General features: G+C 48.4%; 1 protein-coding gene across 55 annotated transcripts in view, besides 4 other annotated features; it reads right to left on the bottom strand.

Moving 5' to 3' along the window:
• The window catches only part of CACNA1C (calcium voltage-gated channel subunit alpha1 C), a 727,171-nt gene that overhangs the window by 336,044 nt on the left and 367,726 nt on the right, over nucleotides 1–23,401 (bottom strand). The window lies entirely within an intron of this gene.
• Nucleotides 7,514–8,108: an enhancer, noted in NCBI's record as "H3K4me1 hESC enhancer chr12:2462965-2463559 (GRCh37/hg19 assembly coordinates)". NCBI's record gives its function as "activates a minimal SCP1, AML or CMV promoter by ChIP-STARR-seq in primed H9 embryonic stem cells {active_cell/tissue: H9 hESC(primed)}" and the evidence as "EXISTENCE:reporter gene assay evidence [ECO:0000049][PMID:30033119]".
• Nucleotides 8,109–8,705: an enhancer, noted in NCBI's record as "H3K4me1 hESC enhancer chr12:2462368-2462964 (GRCh37/hg19 assembly coordinates)". NCBI's record gives its function as "activates a minimal SCP1, AML or CMV promoter by ChIP-STARR-seq in primed H9 embryonic stem cells {active_cell/tissue: H9 hESC(primed)}" and the evidence as "EXISTENCE:reporter gene assay evidence [ECO:0000049][PMID:30033119]".
• Nucleotides 10,062–10,562: an enhancer, noted in NCBI's record as "H3K4me1 hESC enhancer chr12:2460511-2461011 (GRCh37/hg19 assembly coordinates)". NCBI's record gives its function as "activates a minimal SCP1, AML or CMV promoter by ChIP-STARR-seq in naive H9 embryonic stem cells {active_cell/tissue: H9 hESC(naive)}" and the evidence as "EXISTENCE:reporter gene assay evidence [ECO:0000049][PMID:30033119]".
• Nucleotides 13,727–14,234: an enhancer, noted in NCBI's record as "H3K4me1 hESC enhancer chr12:2456839-2457346 (GRCh37/hg19 assembly coordinates)". NCBI's record gives its function as "activates a minimal SCP1, AML or CMV promoter by ChIP-STARR-seq in primed H9 embryonic stem cells {active_cell/tissue: H9 hESC(primed)}" and the evidence as "EXISTENCE:reporter gene assay evidence [ECO:0000049][PMID:30033119]".

Here is a 23,401-nt window from a genome sequence, read left to right as displayed (position 1 = left end):
CAAAATCTCTCCTTTCCTGTGCTATGTTATAGCAAAAGTCTACTGCTCTGAGCAACTCAGCAGTGGCATTTGCTTATCAGGGCTACCCTTTGCCTTTGACCTTGGTTCTCACCATCTAAGCCAGCTCACCTGGAACTTATATGGATTCATTAGAATTTGGTGCAGCTGCATAAATAAAACAAAAGATAATAGTGGCTTTATTTTTCTCTCACATAAAAGATGTCTGAAGGGAGACAGTCCTGGGATGGGATGGCAGCCCCATGGTCATCCTGTCCCAGGCTTTCAGCTTTCTGCTTTGCCATCCTCAATGCTTGGCTTCCATCTTATGGTCCAAAGTGGCTGCTAGAACTCCAGCCATTACAACTGCACCCTGGGAAGGAGGGAGGGAGGCAGAAGGGAGGGAAGGAGAAATGAAGGGAGGAAGGGAGAAAGGAAAAAAGGATCCTTTCCTTACTTTTTTAAAGGAGGCTTCCTTAAATTATAGCCTACAGTAATTTAGTTTATCTCTATCATCGTCCAGAGCTCACCTGGCCATGCAGGACACTGGAAAGTCTATTACAGTCTAGGTAGCAATGTGCCCCAAATCAGGTTTAGTTACTAAGGAGGAAGGCTGGGATAGTCAGCTAGCAATTTTTCTTATACTAACATTTCATTATTATTTTTTAAGTGTCAGGGTGTGGCTGGTCCAAAAGGTTAGAAGCAAAATTAAAATTGATATTGGAGCTTTTTTTTTTTTTAAAGTACCACCGCAATCTGGAATTCAGCAAGAAACAAGCAAATAAGTGTGTGAAATAATGATCCCAGCCCCCCAACCTTCCTAGTCTCCCCATGAAAAATACTCGTTGATTCCAAGCTACACATTTAAAACATACACAAGACTGTTCTGAGGCCAAAGAACAGAATCTGTAGTTTGGTATGCTGCCACCAAGGGACCAGAGAGCTTGCGCATGGTCGTGTGTGGTGAACGGCAGGCCTACACACAAGCTGAGCTAGCTGGAGACGAGTGGATTCGTATATTTTTCCTCATCCTTCCCAACTTCCCTAGGATAAGTTATGCAAAGAAAAAAAAAACATTGAATTTAAAATACTTCACTACGAAATATTACACTGAATCTACTTTATACTCTTCGAGCATTGCAATTCTTCAAACAGCCAGTAGAGACAGAAAGGTAGAGCTGGATGGACCTCAGAGACTGTCCAGTCCGGGTGTCTCCTTTTCCAGAGAAAGAAACTGCAACGGGGAGAGGTAAAATGACCTGCTCAAGCTCAAGGCAGATACATCTCTTGACTCCCAAGCTCATTCCATTCTAGCCCCTGTGGGGCAGCGGTGGTGTCTGAGGGACCCGTTGGAAAACTCCACAGAACTGTGACCTAAGACTTCAGTGACTGCTGGTGAAGTCCAGATAAAAACATGGAATGAGCATTTTTCCCAGCACCCTTGTCATTAGGGAGAGACGCAGGGGTTCTTCAGAGCTGTAGGGCAGCTTTGATGCCCCAGCGTCCATTCCAAGTGACCCAGCAGGGATGCTGGACGGAGCCACCAGGGCAGGTGTGGCCTGGGCTCCTGAGCAGCTCCCGGGCAGTGGAAGATCTAGCGGGATGCTGCAGGCAGCAACCTGAGGAATCCGGGGGAGGCATTTCCTCTTTCCTCACATCACCAGCCTCTTGGTTCTCAATGAGTTAGTTCTGCATTTGTCCTGGTGGGGTGGGGTGTGTGTGTGTGTGTGTGGGGTGGGGGGGTGGGGGGGGGTGGGGTGTGTTTGTGTGTGTTTTAAGAATACAGACACCTGGACTTTCCTCCCAGAAACTCTAAACCAGGAGGTCTGGATAGGGCCCACGAAATTGTATTTTTTACTACGTGTCCCTGGAGATGCTGAGGCAGCCATCTCGCTACTATCTGAGGACAAGCGATCGGGAAGCTGTGCACTGGATGACTTACAGAAATCCCTACCACCGTCCCAGTGCTGCTCTCGTCTGGGAAGACTGCTTGGTGGAAGAGCTTGTGATCCATCCTGCCTTGCTATAATTAACAGACCCTGTGATAAGGAGTTCTTCCTGTAGCCTCAGGCTCCCCTACCTCCCACTTTAAGTGTCTTTTCTTCCCTGGTAGTGGGAAGCCAGTCTCCATGTCCTAACCCTCCACAAACTGGAAGCCTATTACTAGGTCACCTGTCAGCCTCTCTGTCCCAGTTAAATCATCTCCATTCCCCTCACCATTCATCCATGCTCCTATTTTCCAACCCATCAATCATTTCCCCGCTTTTCTCTAAATGCTCTCCAAGTTCTCTCCAGTCCCCAAGTTGTCTTTGTTCCTAATTCTTCCCTTGAACAGTTTGTGTCTTGTGAGATTTAAAAAAAAAAAAAAAAATCCTGCTCCAAAAGGATTCGAAGGCTATTTTGACAAGATTAATTTAAGAAACCTCCCTGCAGCATCACAGCAATCCGGGAAAGAGGGCAGGTTGCATAAGAAAGTCTAAGGAAGGTAGTACAATAAATACTCCATTGTCTCCTTGGTAACACACCCCAAAAGTTTTCTGGATGCTCACATAGGCAGGAAGGTGAGTCTATGGGCTGAAGGTCCACCCACTGGCTCACTGGAAAGCCAGGAAGGACGGCTTAGCTTTCCCTCCATTCACGTGGTAGAGATCAGGGCAAGCTGAGACTACCCGAAGGACCGAGCAAGTGGGAGGAAACAGAATCGAATGTGGGAACCAGAGAGCAAAGGGAAGGAGTGTAGGAGATGGGTGGGTCATCACTGACCCCTGCTGACAATGGTATCTGTTTAAACCATAAGCAGAAATTCACTTTTGAGAAGATTTTTAAGGAAGGCAAAAAGCTTTCTCATGGGGATGATATGAAAAATCAGCCAGGAGAGGTGGAAGGAGAAAGAAGGGAAGTAAGACCAAGAGCAGAACAAAGAGAGACAAAGTTCAGTGGCTGCTGCAGACCTATTTTCTACAAAGAGCAGAAGGAAAGGGAGAAGGCAGCAGAGGGAAGAGAGGGCAGTGGAAGAGGCACAGAAATGGAGTAAGAATCTGCCTTCCCAGTCTCGGGGGCCCAGAAGAACACTGACTGCACCTCCAGTGAGGACAGTGACTGTAGGCTTTGCTGGAAACTTGGGAAAGTGGGCACCAGTTTCTAAATATTTCCCAAGAGGTGATCTCACAGAACAGCCATGTGGGCGTGCGCACTGTTCTCTCACCCACAAACTGCCCACCGCTTGCGGTTAACCTGGATTGTGCAGTTTCCAGAAAGCCTAGTGCACTTAGAAACTCGTCATTTAGCACTTCTCCTTTCTTTCAAGTCCTTTCTTATATGATAATTTTTGTCTTCCCAACAGAATTGGCATTTATTAGTCGTAAATTCCTAACACTACGGCCACTGACTTTAGAGAGTATAGTTAATTCCTGTTACTGCCACTTACTAGGTGTGGCCCAGAGGAAGTCTGTAAATCTTAGCCTCAATCTCTTGGTCCAATAAATGGAAAGGGTTGTAATGAGATTTTAAAGAGATGATGTAATTACATGCCAAGAAACATTTGCTGAATATGAATGCCTCTATCTCTTTCTGCACTGGATATGCTGAAGATGACAAAGAGACACACACACACACACACACACACACACACACACACACACACACACACACACACACAGGAGGACGCCGCTTCTTTTAGGCCAGCCTGGTGGCAGATGGGCTGGGGTGGACACACCCTCCCGGAGAACGGCACCTCCTTCTTCCATCCTATGCTGAGGTCAGGCATTTCCTTTGGAAAACCCCTCTGAGGCCTCCATAGCTGATGAGATAAGGAATCATCAGTAACTTTTCCTCAAATGGTGAACATGTTGGGTAAGAACACTTTAGATACGATTATGATAAATTACCAGTGGGGAAGGGCTGTATGTTTTGTTGCGATTTTTTTTTTTTTTTTTTTTTGAGACTGAGTTTCACTCTTGTTGCCCAGCTGGAGAGCAATGGCATGATCTCAGCTCACTGTAACCTCCACCTCCTGGGTTCAAGCTATTCTCCTGCCTCAGGCTCCTGAGTAGCTGGGATTACAGGCACCCTCCACCATGCCTGGCTAATTTTTGTATTTTTAGTAGAGACGGGGTTTCCGCATGTTGGCCAGGCTGGTCTCGAACTGCTGACCTGAGATGATCCACCCGCCTCAGCCTCCCAAAGTGCTGGGATTACAGGTGTGAACCACTGTGCCTGGCCGATTCCTTTTTTTTTTTTTTTTTTAAGGAAAAAAAACCCAAACAAATAAAAAACAAGCAGACTAAAGCCCTTCTCCACCCTTTGGTTCAATCCTAAACCCTGGCCCAATAGCTAATTTTGTTGGTTAGCCTCTTTGTTCACTAATTAGCAATTATGAACAGCTAGAGAGAGGATTACTCACCTTGAGAAGAGGGAATTGTGGGCTCAAGAGGGATGTCACTTAGGGAGAAAAGAAGAACCTCTCCAGATACAAGATGAACCAAACAAAACATGCCCCAAATTAGATACATCTTTAAGAAGGCCAAGAAAAGAAAACACAGCTCTGTTTGCCTCCACATGGCCAACATGCCACCCCCTGGTTTCTGGGTAGCTCCACTCTCTAGTACCTACTTTCATCAGGAAACAGAGATGCCAGCTTCCTTGGAGCAAGGTGATTCTCTTGTAATTTTAGACCTACTTGAAACCAGGGCGTGCAGCTGGGGAACAGCAGGTTGTTCTGGGTGGAACAGAAAATCCAATCTTGGAAAGAAGGAAAGCCTCACTTCTAATCTTGTCCAGTTTTGGTTCTCATCAATGAGTGACACATAAAAAGCCCAGAGATGACTGCGCATATTGCAAGCATAGCTTAAAAACACCCAGGCAAAGCAGGCTTGAGTTTCAAGACCCCATGGAGGATGGAAGGATGGGCAGAGGCTGCATTTTTGAGAAGTGGACAGAAAGGATGCTGCAGCACTCTAGAACGGCCAAGGCATGGACTCTGAGTTTGAAACCGGTCATTATTGCATACTAGCTGTGTGACCCTGGGCAAGCAACACAATCTCTCTGTGCCCCAGCGGCCTCATCTGTGGAATGGGAATGCAGGTGGAGGGGAGGGGAGCAATGCATATAGAGCACTTAGTATATTTGGGGAGAGGCACGTAAGCTGACCAAGTCCAGCCCCTGCCTGGACGCAGGGAAGAATTTCTATTCCCCTTTACAGAGGAGGGCAAGCCCACAGGTCAGGGTCAGACAGCTAGCGCTGGTGAAGGGGCTGGCCACACAGAGGTCATCTGCCTCTTCAGGTCATGTTTTTTCTGCCTCACCAGAGTGCTCACACAAACAGTGTGCCCCTAATGCACTGCTGGTGTGACAGGCTCTGCTCCCACAGCCTTGGGGCCAAGGGCAGCGCCTGAGCCAGCCGCCTGCCTGCCCCCTTTCCTGGGCATACAGTTCAGATGGGAGCATCTTCTCTGTGGGTTCCAATGTGAGAACACTGAGGAGCTCAGCTCCATACCACACTGCCTCTCAGTATAGACTCTGGACAGTCCTGCACTTTTCCAACCTTCCTCAACAGACAGTTGGGGCAGTGGCTGTTTTTGGCCCCATCACTTTTGAGACAAGAAGGTCAGAGAGTTACTTGTGTCATTAAGATGCACAATAAATGAGAAGTGTCTGAAACCACTCAAGGCCACAGCTTGCAAGCATTTTCAATTTTCACTCTCATCCCTAAGTCCCCAGTCTAGGTCACGGAGGCCACTTCTTGATTGTGAAGCAAAGGAAAGACTAAGCTACTGCACCAGGTAATTGGTGCATTTGCCTAACGATCTGCAGGGCAGCTTAGGTTCAATTCGATTTGATTCCATTTAACTAAATGAATTCAATTCAGCCCCATTTATTGAGTGTCCAACTAAATGCAATGTCTCACCCTGGTTCCTGGGGGTTGCGGGCCTGGAGGAGAGGGTTGGGGCAAGATGCAAGCAGCTGTGTCCTGCCCTCTGGGAGCTCCCAGGAAGGAGCTGAACAGACACGGAGGCTTGTAGATCTCTCAGCTCAGCACTGCTGACTTATTGGGCTGGATCATTCTCTGGGGTGGGGCTGTCCCATCTACTGTAGGCTCTTCAGCAGCATCCCCGGCCTCTACCCGCTAGATGCCAGTAGCTCCCCTTTCAGTTGTGAAAACCAAATCTGTCTCCACACACTGCCAAATGTCCCCAGGTGGTAAAATCGCCCCCATTGCAAGCCATAGCTGTAATAGGAAGTTAAATATAATTTTCCATAAAAGAGGTATAAACCAAGTGTCAGGTGGGCCAAGAAACAGGTGACCAGGGCAGTCTTAGTAGACAAAGTGACATTTGGGCTGGGCCTAACAGAGTCAGTAGGGTTTTGACAAGTCTCATTTCTATCTCATAAGGAAAAAATACAGCAGCAGGAAATATGAGGACCCAGTGTCAAGGGACTTGGCATAACCTGCAGGCTACAGTGAACTTCTGAAAATACTGAACCACGGTGGCACCCACCAACCGAAATGAGTCCAGGGAGCAGCCTTCCACTGAGGAAATGTGGGGGGGTGGGAGGTCCTGGATGGGGGATGGGCACTCAGGGACACAGGACAGCTGAAGTTTCTCAATATTTAACAACTGATGTGGCCATGCAGCCACATGTCAGTGAACATCAGCCAGCTTCTCCCCCTCCGGAGGAGGGCAGATCCCAAAGTTTAATCCACTCTTGGTCTTAAGTGAAAGCTTAATCAGCTCTGACCTGGCAATGTTGGAAAACCCTTTTCTATGCAATAGTTCACACTGACGGTGTGTGCGGTAGAAGGTAAGCATGATAAATACCCGGGGAAGCGGGCAGAGTTGGTTTTGCTGCAGTAGGTTTAATATCCAACCTTACACAATGTTACGCCTCCTTCTTCAGCCCTCCACCCCACCCCACACCCAGACCCATCCTCACACCTGCACCTCCAGGATTTGGCTTCATTTCACTCAGGTCGCTCAGCCTGCCCAAGTGCACACCTGGGTAATGTAAATTTCCTCACCAAAATGGAATCTAAAGCTGCGGGGAAACGACCAGCTCTGAAATGGTTACTCCAGCTAAGCCTGGAAGGTGGAGAGCAGCCCAGGGAAACGAGAATGGAACCAGAAGTCAAGGCCAGTCTTGCCGTGTCTGGAGAAGGCAAAAGCAGGTGTCAGGCCCAAGTGACATGCAGGATTCTCTTGCCATGCTCAGAAAAGCCAAATTACAAGCCAGTCTGTGGTCAGGAGTGTCTGGGCTCTCCCTGGAGGCCAGGAGAAAGGATGGACTCCGTTCCTGGGCTCTCCCAACCAGAAGCACGCACTTCTTACAAGCATAGCTAGGAGAGCATGCATGCGGAAAGGCATTTTCCCTCTCTTGGGTCTCAAAGATGGAATTCAATTCAGCTGCTGGTGAGGTTCTCCGTCCCCTTCTCAACAGTCTCCTGTTCCTCCCGGCGTTTCCCTACAGGCTGCAGTCATAGCTGCAGCCCTGGCTAGCTGTGTTTTCGCTCCTCTAAAGAAAGATTTGGCTTATCACCACTCCAAGCAGGTGGCTGCAGAGCGACCTAGAGGCGCCAGAGGAAACACAAGCTGTGTGCGTGGCTTTCTGCTCTGTGTTTCCTGCTCTGCAGGGCTTCTGTGACAGGCTTAGGCAAGAGAGCCAGGTGAGGGTGCGAGGACAGAGGGACTCGGGCAGCCTAACTGTGCGGGGCCCACATGAAAGGCGGGGCTTCCACTGGGTTAAGGGGTTCTGGAAAAACAGACTCCATCCAGTCCTTCCCGACAGCCCCCACTCCATCCCCATCAGCATTTCAGAGCAACCTCCCAGCTCTGCCACTTTCACCCAGCTCCCGGGACCCTGCAGTGGTCGCTGGGCAGGCATTTGTCTCCAGATTCTCCTTCCTCTAACCTGTGTGAACACAGTGGCCAGATTAATCACACCCAAACATGACTAGCGTCTCATCCTGCCACACACAGAAGGCCCACTGCTGATGGCAGGACAGTGCAGCACCACAGCCCAGCATTCGGGACCAGAAGGTGTGCTCCCAGCCGCCCTGATCTCCTTCCCCTGCCTCTCCCCACACAGCTCTGCCTCAGCCAAGCCATCTCATCAGAATCCCACAAACAGGCTCTGGCCATCTCAGCCCTGGGCCTGCACTGTCTCTCCCACCCCCAGACAGCCTCCCCTTCAAATCTCCTCTAGATTGAGGCACGGGTCATGCTCCACTTCCTCCAGGAAGCCCTCCAAACTGGAGTATTCTCCCTGAGCCCCAACACAATGGGGGGCACTTGGCAAATCCAAGGGCAGAGGCTGCTGACCCGTCTCCTCCATGGGGCCCTTCGGACCTTGACTTGATGGAAGCAGACCCTCCACGTCTCCCTCTCCACCTCCTGCTGCAGGGAGCCCCAGGGCTCCAAGAGGCAAACTAAGTGCTCTTCTTCCCAGCCCAGGTGCTGAGCGCGGCAGCGCCGCCTGTTAGGACAGTCTTCCAAGGCAGCAGCATAGAAGCGCTCCTGGCATGGGACAGGTAGGGAGGATAAGAGCACGGCCAGGGGGACAAGGTTGTCCCCATGGGCTTCAGAATTTCCCAGCACCAGGGGGGGCTCACTCTGCTGTGTGAGTCAGGCCTTGGAGACTTGCAGGGTGGGTGAGAACTTCTGCATAGGCCAGCATCTCTCCCTGTGGAAATTCTACCCACCTGCCAGACTCAGCCTGAGGCCACTTTCTCCAGGACAACAGCCCCCAGCATCCCAACCAGAGTGACGTGGCCTTCCTCTAAACTCCCTCCCACCTGACCTGCTTCGGTGCCAATTCCACAGGTGACCTCGCCCCAGCACCCAGAACACTGCCTTGCACGTGGAGCGCTCAACCAAGATTACTTTAAGGACAAGATTCCTTAAAATAACAATCCCCCCTTTTCTTCCACAATAACAATCCATCAGTCCCTTGTGTGTATGCTTCATAAGTTGAAACTGCATTTGTCTTGCAGAGTCTGATTTGGTCCTCGCCACTGCTCTGAGAAAGTCAGTGTGACATCATTATCCAGTCTTACAGATTGGCAACACTGGAGGTCAAAGGGGCCTTTTCAGATCCTATATCACAACAAAGAGGTAGGTCAGGGTTAGTCCTGAACTCATTTTTCTTTGCCAGACACTCAACGGTCCACAGAGTCTATTTCCCCCAACAAGTAATGCAGTGCTAATTCAGCATCCTTGGGGGTAACCAGCATCTCCCCACCAAGAGGTATGTCAGGGTTAGTCCTGAACTCATTTTTCTTTGCCAGACACTCAACGGTCCACAGAGTCTATTTCCCCCAACAAATAATGCAGTGCTAATTTCAGCATCCTTGGGGGTAACCAGCATCTCCCCACCAAGATAAAGAAAGGAGGCCATTACTGGAAAAGGCGGGATGACAGCAGCGACACAGAATTCACCTGGCATGTCTTGTGAAGGTCTTCAAACCCGACCACGTTTCCCCAAATCTTCCTGCAACCCACACACATCAAATGCAGGCAGCTTATTTTGTATGATTGATGAAGACTTTTTTTAGCATAAGAATTTAATTACAGGGTAACTGTATTTTCAGAGGGCCTGTCAATTGAGGTCTCACCATACAGACCTTCTGACAACCTTAGGCAGCCTAGGAGACCTCGTCAAATGAGCAGGAGAGTGGGAGAAGAAAGTAATGTCTTCAAGTCGGTGCCTCTGCCAAGGCCCACAGTGCAGGTCTGGGACATTAGGTGAGCATCTCACCTGATGATGCTCTAGACTGTCTGTCTTCACACCAAGCTGCTACAGAACAAACTGGAAACAGAGAAAGGGAATTTTTGTGGCTCTAGGGACAGGGTGATTGTGCTGCATTTTGGGTGAAAGCCTGACGTTTCAACCAACACATTTCTGAGTCAGGACACAGATAACAGGGCAGGTTACTAAGGTCTTCTGCACTGGGCAGACAGAAAACCTGACAAGACCGGAATCCTGGCTTTGTCCTCAGGACTTTCCAGAGCCTGGGGATGTCTCTTCCTTGCTCCCGTCTCCTTGTTGGGTAATTTCCAGACCCACGGTGTGCAGAAGAGGTGGTGGGCATGTATTTAGGGGTAGGGGTAGGGAAAGGGGCAGCCCAAGGAAGCACCTGCAGAACCCACATGGGAGGAAACACGCTCTCATGACCCTAAGCCAGGACACAGGCGTGCAATGCTGTTTTCCCTTCTGCAGCATGGCAGACACCAACCAAATGAGAAGATCACTGCAGACACACCCTGGGGAAGGACAAGTGGGAAAGACCTTAGAAATAACCCATCCCTCCACTGCCAGCCACGCCCTGGACCCTAAGGTCCCTCAACTCCTGCATCAGCCACCCTTGAGGAGAGGAAGGACAGAAGGGTGGGGCAGGCCCTATGCCACCCATTGCTGACAGGGCAACTGAGGAAACCAGACCACCTCCAGGGCCAGGAAGTGGCCTTGGGGACCGCTGCCTTGTTTATTCCAGGCCGCTTCAGCAGAGGCCAGGTGAAGGGAGATGGTTTTGCTTCAGCCAATGGCCATCGGAGGCTGGGGTGGGGGCTGCTCTCTGAGCACTGGGCAAGGCAGAATTAGAACAGCAGATCAACCCAGGCGATTTCGGCCACCTTCGCCCCAGGGGACATTTGGCAGTATCTGGAGACATTTTTGGTCATCACAGCTGGGGGTACGGCGTGACTGCTACTGGTACCCAGTGGGTAGAGGCCAGGGATACTGCTAAACATCCTACCATGCACAGGCCAGCCCCAGACAAGAAAGAATTATCCATCCCCAAATGTCAATAGGGCCAAGGCCAAGAAACTTCCATTAGAGTATCTGAAACAGTTCACTCAGAAATTGCCTTCAGAAGGGGCCCGAGGGAACAGACCAGAGGGCCTGGCTAGGGCCAGTGGCTGGAGCTGCTCCAGGGCAGCCTTCGGCTTGAGTTTATGAACAAGAACTTTCTATCAACTAGATGGACATCCAAGGGCTTCTCCATCATCCTTGCTTGATTCGACAGGTCCTGCCAAGAAGGCTACAAAGGACTCCTGAGTCAGGTGGAAGAATAAACAGGGTGACCTCCAGGGTCCTTCCAACCTGAAGACTCTGGTGTCCTGCGACATGGGGAGGTGCCTGCGAAAGGGGGCAGAGCTCAGCAATTGTCCAGGGGAAAGGGCTTGGAAAAAAGAGGACTCCATTCAGGCCAATGGCAGCTGAGCCGCCGAGCCTGAAGACAGCCTCTGCTGCCCATATGAGGGGGTGACCAGCCATTCATCATCCAGGCATTCGGGCTCTTCAGTTCATGGGCATCAATGGCCCCGCAGCCCAGCACACTTCCTCTTCTGTTTGCCATCATTGTGGACACATTCAGGCCCCATTGCCCCCTTGATCTTTCTCTTTCTGCTACTTAAAAGGCTTAGAGATGAAAGAGACAGATTCTGGAGCCAGACTGTCTGGCTGAAATCAAAGCAACATCACTATTTGTGTGTGCTTGGGCAAGTTATATGACTGTTTACTACCTCAACTTCCTCATCTGTAAAATGGGAGAGTCACAGTCTCCTACCTAACAAGGCTGCTAGGAAGTAAAGGCTTCAGCAGCATCTGGCCCATGACCACCCCTCACTCAGTGTTGATAATCACTCATCTCATCACAACCCACCCCTGGGGAAGGTCCAGTCAGGGACTCCTCTCTGCTTTGGATCTTCACCTGATGGAGGTGAGGTGGGGTCTCTGGTCTCACACTAGTGTTGTGAGAGAAGGCACGAACAGCAAGAAGGAATTCCTTATAGGCCCCCCAAAAGGAGGTTACTAGAAGATCACCTTCTCACTAGACAGTGAACAAACATGACTCCTAAGAGGGGTGTCATAGCCAAAAACCCAAAAAGGAATTCTGAAACCTTTCGTGAATGCTGGGGCCACCCCTTTGTCCTGGCTCCATTTCTTTCTCTGACTGTCTCTGCAACCACATCTACACATACTGATCCATGGAAAACGACTCTTCTTTCCTCCCCAAGACTAAGTAAATCACAAATTTCAAAACTCCTAGTCAGATTGCAATCTTTCCTGAGCACCTAGTACATGGAGAGCCCCTTTCGGAGGGTGCTGTGTGCCAGACACTGTGCAAGGTGCGTTCCTCCCATACAACCATCCTATCCCCATTCTGCAGATGAAGAAACAGAGGCTCAGAGAACTCACGTAGCTCCAGACTCGCAAGAGCTCCTGGTTTAAAGCCAGATCCGTGGGACCACTGCAGAGCTCTTCCTACCCTCTGCAGTACCTTCCTCCTGAGTCCAGACACCACCTTTCACACCCATGGCAATGCCAAGCAGGGGCTAAAATTCCAGAGGGGAGGAGGGCAGGGGGCAGACGTGGGAGCTCTTCTCTGCTTTGCATGCTGCGCCCCTACTCAAAATGCCCCCAGGCTGGCAGAGGCAAGCATCTGCTTGTAAAATGTTTATTTCACCTGAGCCCTTCCATTTTTCTTCTTAACTTTAAAAAAAACGATGATTCCAATTGAGACAGTACTAGAGAATCTCCCTGCGAGTCTGTTGAAATTCCATACCCAGTTAGAACCCCACCCAAACTGCTCTATGTCCCAACGCTGCCAGGGGCCACTTTCCACACCAAGGTTCCACTCACACAGGACCATGGGACTTCATGCTGGCCACATCTCAGTCCTAACGGTGTTTGTATTGTATTCTACCCTTCTGACGTTTTCCAGTCCATGGGAACATGCTATTAGAGCAGACCCCTCCCGTGACCTTGGTGTAGTGCTGAATGCCATCAGTAGAGCAGGTCACCATCCTCTATTAGGCCTCAGTTTCCCCATGTTATAGATGAAGGGGCTGGATAAGATAACCCACAGTCTTTTCTGGCACCACCGTCCTTCAATTCAGTGTGTTTTGGGTGACAGCCATTTTCTTCACCATTCTGGGCTAACTGAACTCCAAAGTATCATACCAGTTAGCCAGTCGATGCCTGCCTCTAAGAGGAATTCCATTAAGGAGGACTTTAGGAATTGGGTTCACTTTGAAGGAGGCTTTTTCCTGCCGGGCTCTGAATGCTGACATGACGGGTAACATCCAACAGCCCCACCCTGTGTCTGGGAAGTCCAGCCATGAGCAAGCTTGAAGCTACTCTCCCATGCCACCCAGTTCCCGAGGAAGGAACCTTTCCCCCGAGACATTCCCAGCTCCTTCTCCAGGGCGCCCCACACTCTGGGTCCCTCTGGGAGAAATCTTAAAGTGTGGCAGCAGACGGAAGCATGAGTTTATATTCAGCATGCCAAACATTCTCTGGACGGCTTCTAAACATAACCAGGCCTTAATATAGTGTCTCTTCTTGTGCCGACGACTTGAAATCCTTGCCCACCCGGCGTATGAGCCCATTCCCTCGGGGAGACTATTTGTAGCCCTAAACCAGGTGCTGTGGCTCAGCGAGAAGACACCATACACGCCAACGGGAAAGGGGGTTCTTACATATGCCAATCACCTCCACGTTTGGATTGACTAAGTTGCTAAGAAGCCGCGTGACTCAGTCGTGGGCCGGGAGCTCTTGGGAAGTCCCCCGCACATAGGATCCAAAGGGTCTAGATCCTCAGGGCCAGCACTCAGGACGGCCTGTCCTGGCCCTGCAGTGGGGGAGGGGCTGCAGACCTGCCCCCCTTCCGGTGAGCAGAAGGCCTCAGGAGTCAGGCACAGCTGGCGCCTCGCTGCACTGCCCAGCTCCTCCGGCTGGGGCCATCCCACTGGCAGCTAGCCCCACGCTCCCACTCCTGCAGCAGGCAGGAGGGGCTCCCCTCGAGTTGAGAGTGGGCCTGCCGCACAGTCACCTCACTGCAGTTTCTAGGACAAGCTTCCTCAGGGAGACCTCACAGATTTCCCAGCTGGCACTGGCTCTCTCAGCAGGTACCAAAGACTGTTTCCAACAGTCCGGTGAGAATGGCCCCAGGGCATAATCCTCCCGCTCCTGGCCCCTCTTCTGGAATCTGGTGTGATACTCCAACAGCCTACCAAGTGCACAGCCCCTTGGAGCTGGTGGGGACAGAGAAAGGGCAAGACCTGAGTCTGGGACCTGCTCCCAATGTGGGGATGTGTCCTCCTGTAGAAGCTGGCCAGGGACATCACTGGGCAGGTCTGGTTTAGTGTCCAAGCTCAGGCATGAGTCAGGCAAAAAGGGCATAGGGCCTGGCCACATGGATGGAGCTCAGAGAATGGAATCCCATAAGGCAAACCCTCCCACAAATCCCAAAGGCAGGAGCTATGAGACTGGCCCCCACGGGTCCTGGGCTCCTGTCCTCTAGGATTCTCTGGTCCTGGAGCGGTGTTCCTACTGACTGGGTCAGAGGAAGCCCTGGGATACCACCCTATGAGCATCAGGCCTAGAGCCTGCCAACTTCTGTGATCCTCAGCCCGCTGCACTCAGGATCTCTCTTGAAGCTTTTTACTGGTACAAATGTGGAGCCTAATTTCCTTTCCCCATCTCCCTCCAGAAAGGATAAGTTTAAACAGTTGTCAGCAGCATGAAATGAAACTGTGATGCTGTGGATGTACCTAGCACACAGCACTGGATGCTGAACTGCAAATGTAAACCGTATGATCGGGAAGACAGGCAACCATGGGTGCTGGTACATCTCACTTAGTTCATTCCTCACTGACAGATGTGGGGAAAGTGCAGTGTTCGTGGGGAGGTGAGAAAGGGTGCATTTGTTCATTCATTCATCCATTCAGATGCTAGCTGCATACACATGGCAGGCTCACATACCCTTGGAGGTAGTACAAGGAGCAAGGCTTGGTCTCTGCCCTCCAGGAACATAGGGGAGCAAAGAATTATAACAAGAGTTCAGACAGGCTAAAACTGCGGTGTGATCCTACACAAAGAGGAGCACCCTACTCATTGAAAGGGGGTCAGATGGCCTCTTAGTCCTGTAAGGTCTGTGGCCCCAGCCAGTGGAAAGGGTTATACAAAGGACTAGCATTCTGAGAAGAGGGAGACACCAGCAAAAATGCAGAGGTGAGATGGTTCAAATCATGGCACCCCTAACAAGCCTTGGAGGTGAGTGAGGCACCAAATGATTGCCACATACACACTGCTTTGTATGTATTTGTGTATATGCTGCTATATGCTTATCATGAGCTGGATGCAAAATCAAGTTTTAATGTCCAAGTCACGTTTGACTCCTGATTTCTAAATGTTCCTTTTAAGGCCTTCCAATTCCCCCTGCTAAGCCCTGGCAAAGCCTGTACTTCATCACGGTGGACGATGCAGTCATTCTCCAGGCTTGGAAGGGCAGTGACTACGCCCCCAGGACACACACTGGGGCCGGCTAAGAGAAATGGGGGAGTATGTGACTGAGCCACAGCCATCCTAACACAGGGGCAACTCTCTTCCTGGGGCCCAAAATTTAAAACATAGCAAGCCCATTGTCCCAAAGCCCTGGACAGCAAAAACATTTCCTCTAGGACCTGTGGAATGTGAGCTTGTCCCAAGCCTGGGGAAGGGGGTGGAACACAGTCTTGCCCAAACACAGACATAGACACACAAACACACAAACACAGAGACATACATAGGCACACACACACATTACAAAGACACACAGACACACAGAAATGTACACACAAACACATTACATAGAGACACAGGCACATACGAGAGATGCACAGACAGAGACACACACAGACACACACAGAGATGACACACACAGAGACACACACGCACACCTCTGCCTTCCTCGGCTCCACCCACAGACAACCAAGCCACGGCTATCACCTTGCAGCGGATCCAGGTCTTGGGAAGGCTCCTGGTGCACCTGGGGAGCTTCAGCGGTTCTAAATGGAACACAGAGGCTGTGCATCTTCAGCACTATCTCAGCCTCCTCCCATCACTGCCATACGGCCCACGTTCCTTCACAGACCAAGCCCGGGCGTCAGAGGTGATTAATGGGGGTTTCATGTAGCCAGGCAGGGTCCTGAGGAGGCGAGTGGGTTTCTACTTCCCTTCCTCCAAGTCCTGGACCTTGGAATTTGGCCCAAGGAAGAGCGGAAAAGTTCATGAAGGTTCAAAAGCATAAACATCTCACCATACTCCATTTTAGGACCTCAGGGACAGATGATCACGGCTGTACCATATGACCCACCCCATTCAGTCACCTCCATGTCATCATTTTGAAGTGAACTATTTCTAGTGGCCAGCCTAGATCAACCTGCAGAGACAGTAACAGGCGATTTGCATAAGGAGACAAAAGTCACCTTGTAATTAAGAGCACAGCCTTCAAAGTTAAACAGATGGTTCCAGTCCAGCCGTGCCACTTTCTAGCTACAATTTTAGAGAAGTTTCTTAATCACTCAGTGCCTCAGTTTCAACATTTGTGAAATGGAGATATTAACAAAATCTAACTTCCGGGTTATTTGTAAAAGTTACTGAGTTAGTATGTGTAATAAAGCATTTAATATTTAACTAAGCACTTACATCATTAAAACACTTTGGAACCAGTTGGTTAGTGGCCACTGCCCTATGCTCACCGAGAATCTTCCACCTTGTGGCCCTCCTTCCAGGGCTCCTGGACCTCTTCGCAATCCAGCTACCAATCCAGTTAATGCCTGGCGTACAGGGGGAGCTGCCTGTTCGAGCCTTGATATCTATGCCACAGCATCCTTCCCTGTTCAAATGTCACCCCTGCCCCATAGACTCTCTCACATTCCCTTTCACCTCTGCGCACTTGGCAAGCTCCTGAGGTATGCCCTCTTCCTACTCTCAGAGGGACTGAGCCTTCTAACCCTGCTCAGCTTCCTGCTGGTTCTGATTGAGCATGCAGTTCCTCTCTAGATCATTCAAACCCACAGACATGGGGCTCACGGCCAGAGAGCTTGATCTAGTATGGTTCCCAGCTTCATTTCAAGGCCAAAAATGTTTGGGAAAAGCTGGAATCAACGTCCACACTTCTGCGAAGCTAGGAAAACCCCAAAGCTAGTCTCTTAGGGCAGCAGTAAATGCTCAAGAAAGTAAATATTTCTTAAAGAAACAGTTAAATCTGTCCAATTCTGCCACCACTATGCACCATCTGCCCTGTCCTGGTTTGTTATCACTGTTTTGATGGAGTAACCTGGCAAGTAGAAAGTATGACATTCAAATAAAAAAACATGAGCTTGAATCTCAGTGGTGCTACATGGGGCATTGGGCAAGTGCCTGCAGTCTCAGCCTCCACACACACAGGGACACACATAGGCGCACATCCTCATCTGGGAGTGAGGTGTGCTGTGGGAATAAAGCAAGGTGAGGGCCCATCCCAGGACAGCCCACAGACTCCGCACTCAAGACACTATTGAGGGAGGAGGTTTTGGGCCATGTATCTTCACATTCTCTGGAATGATAAGCACTCAAAAAAGCAGTTGAACATAAATGTTTTAAAAAGAGTTGCTTGGTCTGTGGATTTGTAATGCAAATGCCCCTAATAAGAGAAGAGAGGGGACAGACTCACAGGAGGGCACTAGGCATGTTCCTACCTCTCCAGGGTGCAAGAGAACCCAGAGCTACCTTCACAAAGATACTGTGAAAATGCAGAGTGTGAAACGCTCACACACCTGGAGGAAGTGTTCAAAAAGAATGCCCTTTCTTTGCTACATCATTCCATTTAACAGGCTGGCAATTTTCAACTTATCCACAACTTCTATTACCTGAGACCATCACAGGTAAATTTCCTAACAGTAGTAGCAATCGGCCTTAAAAGCATGATGTGTGAGATCGCAAGAAGGCATTATTGGGAAAATATGATATTCTGGATTTCAAGAAATTCTCAACTGCCGGAAGTCTTTGGTAACCTAATTCCGTTTTCAAGACAGGGTTGCTCCTTAAATTTACTGCCTGGGGGAACCAAAGTTTTCAAACTATCAATGTCAGATCAACTCAAGTGTGTGGGGAAGGTGGCACCGTTTTCTCTATTTCCAGGACAGGAACCAAACTGGTCATTATGTTAGGCAGGAGATGAAACATTGTTGCAGTCAAAAAGTAATACACTTTTACAGTCAAAGTAAACAGACCCTTATTTGGTGTGTGCATGTGTCTCTGAGCCTTGGCCTCTCCGGTCTGCCATTCTTTTTCATATGAGTTGCTCTTTCTGCAGCTAGCGGCCACATCATTTCCCTACTGCCCTGTAAATAATAGCTCAAGATCCGTCTTTTCCAGGAAGCATTATCTAATTAACACTATACATTCTGCAACCCATTAATTTATTTTCCCAGCCCCCACTCTTACTGAAGACTCTGCTGTCATTACAGATCAGACACTGCCCACCCAGCCACAGTCCTGGTATTAGGGCTACAGATAAAATACAGGACACCCAGCTAGATTTGAATTTCAGATAAACAACAAATAATTTTTTTTTCAGTATAAGTATGCTCCATGTAACAGTTAGGATATACTTACAAAAAATTATTTGTTGTCTATCTGAAATTCAAATCCAGCTGGGCATCTTGTGTTTGGTTTTGTTCTGTTGTTTCTTTGTTTTGTTTTTTGTTAAATCTGGCAATTCGATCTGTTACCCTTCCTCCTTGCTTACACTTCAGACAGAGAGAAGAAAAAGGTTGTGAACAGCCAAATAGAGAGAGGCCACAAAACCCAGGCACTAAATCTCAAACACTGTCTCCAAAGGAGAGACTCTTAAACCTTCACCTGGTCATTTTGCGCCCAATTTTAACAAGCTTTGTGGCAGATTACCAGTACCAAACTAGAAAGAAGGTTGGGAGTTGCTAAAGGGAAGAAGGATGTTGGCACAGAAAGAGTCCCAGCCTAGAATCAGGACACCCAGTCCTGAATCCCAGTGTCTTCCTTCTAGCCATGTATCTTTGGCAGGTTGCTGAGCTCTTGAAAGCTTCAGTCTGTTGCTTGCTTGTTTGTTTTTTCTCTTTTAATCAGCAAATTGGAAATGATCCTATCTGCCTTGCAGAGCTGATATAAGGCTTAAATAAAATAATGCACATGAAAACTGCTAAATAAATGTAAGATGCTTGTTATCACAAAGATTCACTGATGGAATAAAAAATAAGCATCCTCAGTTTCACTGCTGGGAAGGAGGCAAACTACAGAAATCAAACACAAGGGCTCACAAAGACAACACTCAGGCTGATTTAACGTTAAGGGCAAAGAACTGGTATACCTCAATAAAACAGAAGCAACACATCATCCTACTGCAGCACTGATGTTCAAAATGATGGCTTGGAGGCATCAGGAAAAGATGAAAGTAAATTCAATGCATTCTGTTTAAGAAGGCAGGGAAGTGTTTCATCCAGGCGAATCTATCTAGGCCAGGGGGCTTCAGTATGACACAGCTCCGTCAAGAACCCTGAGAGTTGCTTTTTATAAATGCACTGGGCACCTCAGTGTGCCAGGCACTGTGCTAGGCATAGTCACATTCATGGGCTTAGAAAGAAACTCTTTGTTCAAAGCAACTGGCTGTTATCCTGCCAGTTGTGGATATTCAATATTTGTGGATTGAATGAGGAAGAGGATGAATGAATGCCTATAGTAAATTTACAAAGTGCTGGATACACAAAAAGGACTCAGGATATACAAGTGGCTGGATTAACTCCCTTTATATTATAAGTGACGAGACAGGGCAGGGAAAAGAAAAGGTACCAGTTATGTGCACAAAGTAGAAACAAACAGAACGATGCCCTGACTGAGGATACCCAGCATGAGTTCAGGGTGGGTAACTTCAACACAGCAATGACAATCATACTGCAATCTGTCGGGTGACACCGCTCAAGGGAGCCAAGGGAAGACATGCCTAAGGAGGGTTTTTAAGTGGTTAATACTTCATGAGTCATCCTATTTCTCTACTCTTTGGAAACAGTCTGGTTTTATTTCCTAACAAATGACTGGGCCCTGTAATACCTCACCATCATGATTTTAACCCGTGAGGTTGGGTCGAAGCATACCCAAGCAGCATGGGGTTAACACTCCCCAAATCCGAGGCTATCAGTGGGCCTTAAATGCAGCCATGAGCTGAATGGGGCTATGTGGGTTGTGCCGATGGGCTGAAATCCACTAAGGTTAAGCTGCGGTAAACAGATCATCACAGCCAGGGCCAGAGAGGCTGACCCATTGAAATCACTTCCTTGCCAGTCAAACTCCTTATCAACCAGTCAGTTACCCCTGAATGAGGGTCCGTCACACGTGCTCGTACTAGTTCCAGACTTATTTGAGGGCAGGCAAAAGTCAGAGGAGATGATGAACCTGGTCTTGCCCTCAGGAAATTCATTTTTCTAAACAGAGGACAAACCCACAAAGGCAAGAAGACAATGACAGACATCTGCTAAGGCATGTGGATAACGTCACAGTCCAGCAGGGCTCCGCGGGAGGCTGCCTCTCAGGTGTGCACAGGGGCCTGTGGCTACCTGTGTGAAACGCAGGGCCCGCACAGCACTGCCTCCCAGAGTGGGGATTCCACAGCGACTCTGAACTTCATACTTAGAAGAGCAGGGCCTCACCTGGGCTGCCTTGGAATCCTCAGGAAATTGGATCTCATGGGGTTCTTAGACATCAGATAGTTTAATCCCTCGCTGGAACAGATGAAAAAGGGAAAGAGCCAAAGGAAAACAATGACCAAGTGCCAAGCTCGCACCATGTGCTCTAATCCTCACGCTATCCCAGGGGTCAGAGACACAATCTTTCTGCAGATCGCCTGCCAGTCACACAGCCAGGATGCAGGGAGGAACCAGGATCTGTGTGACCAGTGCCCCAGCACTCCCCTCACTGCCCCAAGCCACCGCAGGTGAAAACAGGAAGAGGCCTGTCCAGGTGACAAGGGTAACAAGTGGCACATCCAGGCCTGGACCAGGGCTTTCGACCAAGTCTTACATGCAAAAACGTTCATGTCCACTCCCCCTAGGGAGTGTTGAAGGTGCCTACTGCCGTATCGCTGTATTTCATTAAAAGGCCAAGTCTTTTTTTTTTCTTTTTTGAGACGGAGTCTCACTCTGTCGCCCAGGCTGGGGTGCAGTGGCACAATCTCGGCTCACTGCAAGCTCTGCCTCCCAGCTTCACGCCATTCTCCTGCCTCAGTCTCCTGAGTAGCTGGGACTACAGGCGCCCGCCACCACGCCCGGCTAATTTTTTTGTATTTTTAGAGAGATGGGGTTTCACCGTGTTAACCAGGATGGTCTCGATCTCCTGACCTCGTGATCTGCCAGCCTCGGCCTCCCAAAGTGCTGGGATTACAGGCGTGAGCCACCACACCCAGCCAGTGTCTTTTTTCAAGGAAACTTCAGCTATGGATCAAATCAATCTCCTCTCAATACATTTCCAGGGACCCTCCGGATCCCTCTGTTGATCAGAATTTTATCTTAACTACAGGTAGAAATAAGAATGCCCCAGCTTGGGTTCAGCCATGTTTTGTTAGAGGTTGTACAGGTGGCACTTGGGTTGTGTTTTAGAAGAGTAATTGTGGGTTCAGAAAGCATTTTCCCAATGCTATGTCCCATTCACTTGTTTTCTTCCTTTCAGATTAATAAAGATAATGCTCAGCCTGTTGGCATGGGTGTGAGGAGTCAGAAACTTTCATATTCTGCTGCTGAGAATCCAGATTTGGACAGGCTTTCTTAAGTGCCTTTTGGCAAAATAAAGCAAAAAACATAACTTTTCACCTATAAATCCTTCTGTTAGAATACATCTGCAAAAAGGGGTATATATAGAATACAGTTATTTATTTTACATATATATGTTATTATGTACATTATAAAGTTGTATATAGAAGAATAAAGTTATTCTTCACTGTGCTGCTGAAACTGTGAAAACAGCTTCGTGCTCACCAAACAGCAGATGAATTATGAACACCAGGACACCTTCACAGGATTCCACATTATACTGCAGATTCATATTTAATGCCACAAAAGGACAGTCATTACATATAGTTTTTAAAAACCAAAGTACATAGTAATATGTGTAGTAGGATTCTTTTTTAAAAAAATATATTTCCATATTTGCATGGTAAAGACTGGAAGGATATACACATAAAAGAGAGTAGTATCCCTTTGGTCTGAGATTTTGAATGAACTTCTTTGCTCTTTAAAAATCTGCCCTTAATTTTTTGATAATGACTATGTACGACAGTCACGTGCTGCATAACACTGCAGTCAACAACAGGCCACATACACAATGGTGGTCTCATAAGGTTATAATGAGGCTGAAAAATTCCTATCACCTCATGACATCTTGATGACCTGCGTAGGTCTAGGTTACTATGTGCGCGTGTCTTACTTCTTAACAAAAAATTTACAAAGCAAAAAATAAAATAAAATAATTTTTAATAGAATACATCACATAGAAAAAAGGATATAAAGAGAGTATTTTTGTACAGCTGTGTGTTTGTGTTTTAAGCTACATGTTATTATAAGAGTCATCAAGTTAAAAATTAAAGTTTATAAAGCAAAAAAGTTATAGCAAGCTAAGGTTAACGTATTATTGCAGGAAGAAACATATTTTTTATAAATTTAGTGTAGCCTAAGTCCACTGTTAATAAAGTCCACAGTAGTGTGCAGTCATGTCCACTCACTCATGACTCACACAGAGCAACTTCCAGTCCTGCAAGCTCCATTCATGGTAAATGACCTACACAGGCAAACCACTTTCTTAATCTTTTATACTGTACTTTGTACCTTTTCTATGTTTAGATATGTTTAGCATTGTATTACAATTGCTTACAGTACTGAAGTACAGTGGCATGCTGTACGGAATCCAAGGAACGATGGGCTACGCCATATAGCCTAGGTGTGCAGCAGGCTCAACCATCCAGGTTTGTGTATATTCACTCTATGATGTTCACATATGATGAAATCACCTAACAACGCATTTCTTAGAATGTATCCCCATTGTTAAGCAATTCGTGACTGTACTTGTGTAATTATAATTTTGAAATTATTCTCTAAATTAAAAGAGAAGCTATTATTGATATGGGGGGAAGCATTTTTCCTATAAAACAATCTGTAACTCATAATAAGATAATCAGATTGGATCATAAAACCTGTTAAACCTGTTTAGCATGATGGGTATGCTAGCTCAACTTGGGGGTGTGTTGGGGGAAAGGGACAAGAAGGAAAGAAGTTCCCTTCATTTCCTTGGGCCTAGGATAAGCCCTCAAGAGCCCTATTCCACCCCCAAGGGCACCTCCTCCAAGGCTCCTGCTATTCTCATGCTTCCTGGGCCCTGTGTCCTGGATGCACAGGCATACCGGGTCGCTCGCTGCTCCAAAGTTACCCACTTCACACCAACCTTGCCAACCCTAACCCTATCTCTCAGACATCACCCAGTCTCTGGGGAGCAAAAGAATGGCATCTGCCAAAAGAACAGCTGAGATGAGCCACCGGTGGTCAGTGTCACTGACTGGAGGGAGGGGGACCATGGTTCCAGCTGTATC

Source organism: Homo sapiens, chromosome 12, assembly GCF_000001405.40.
Source record: "Homo sapiens chromosome 12, GRCh38.p14 Primary Assembly".
Lineage (NCBI taxonomy): Eukaryota > Metazoa > Chordata > Mammalia > Primates > Hominidae > Homo > Homo sapiens.
This window is presented reverse-complemented; position numbering and strand designations above follow the sequence as displayed.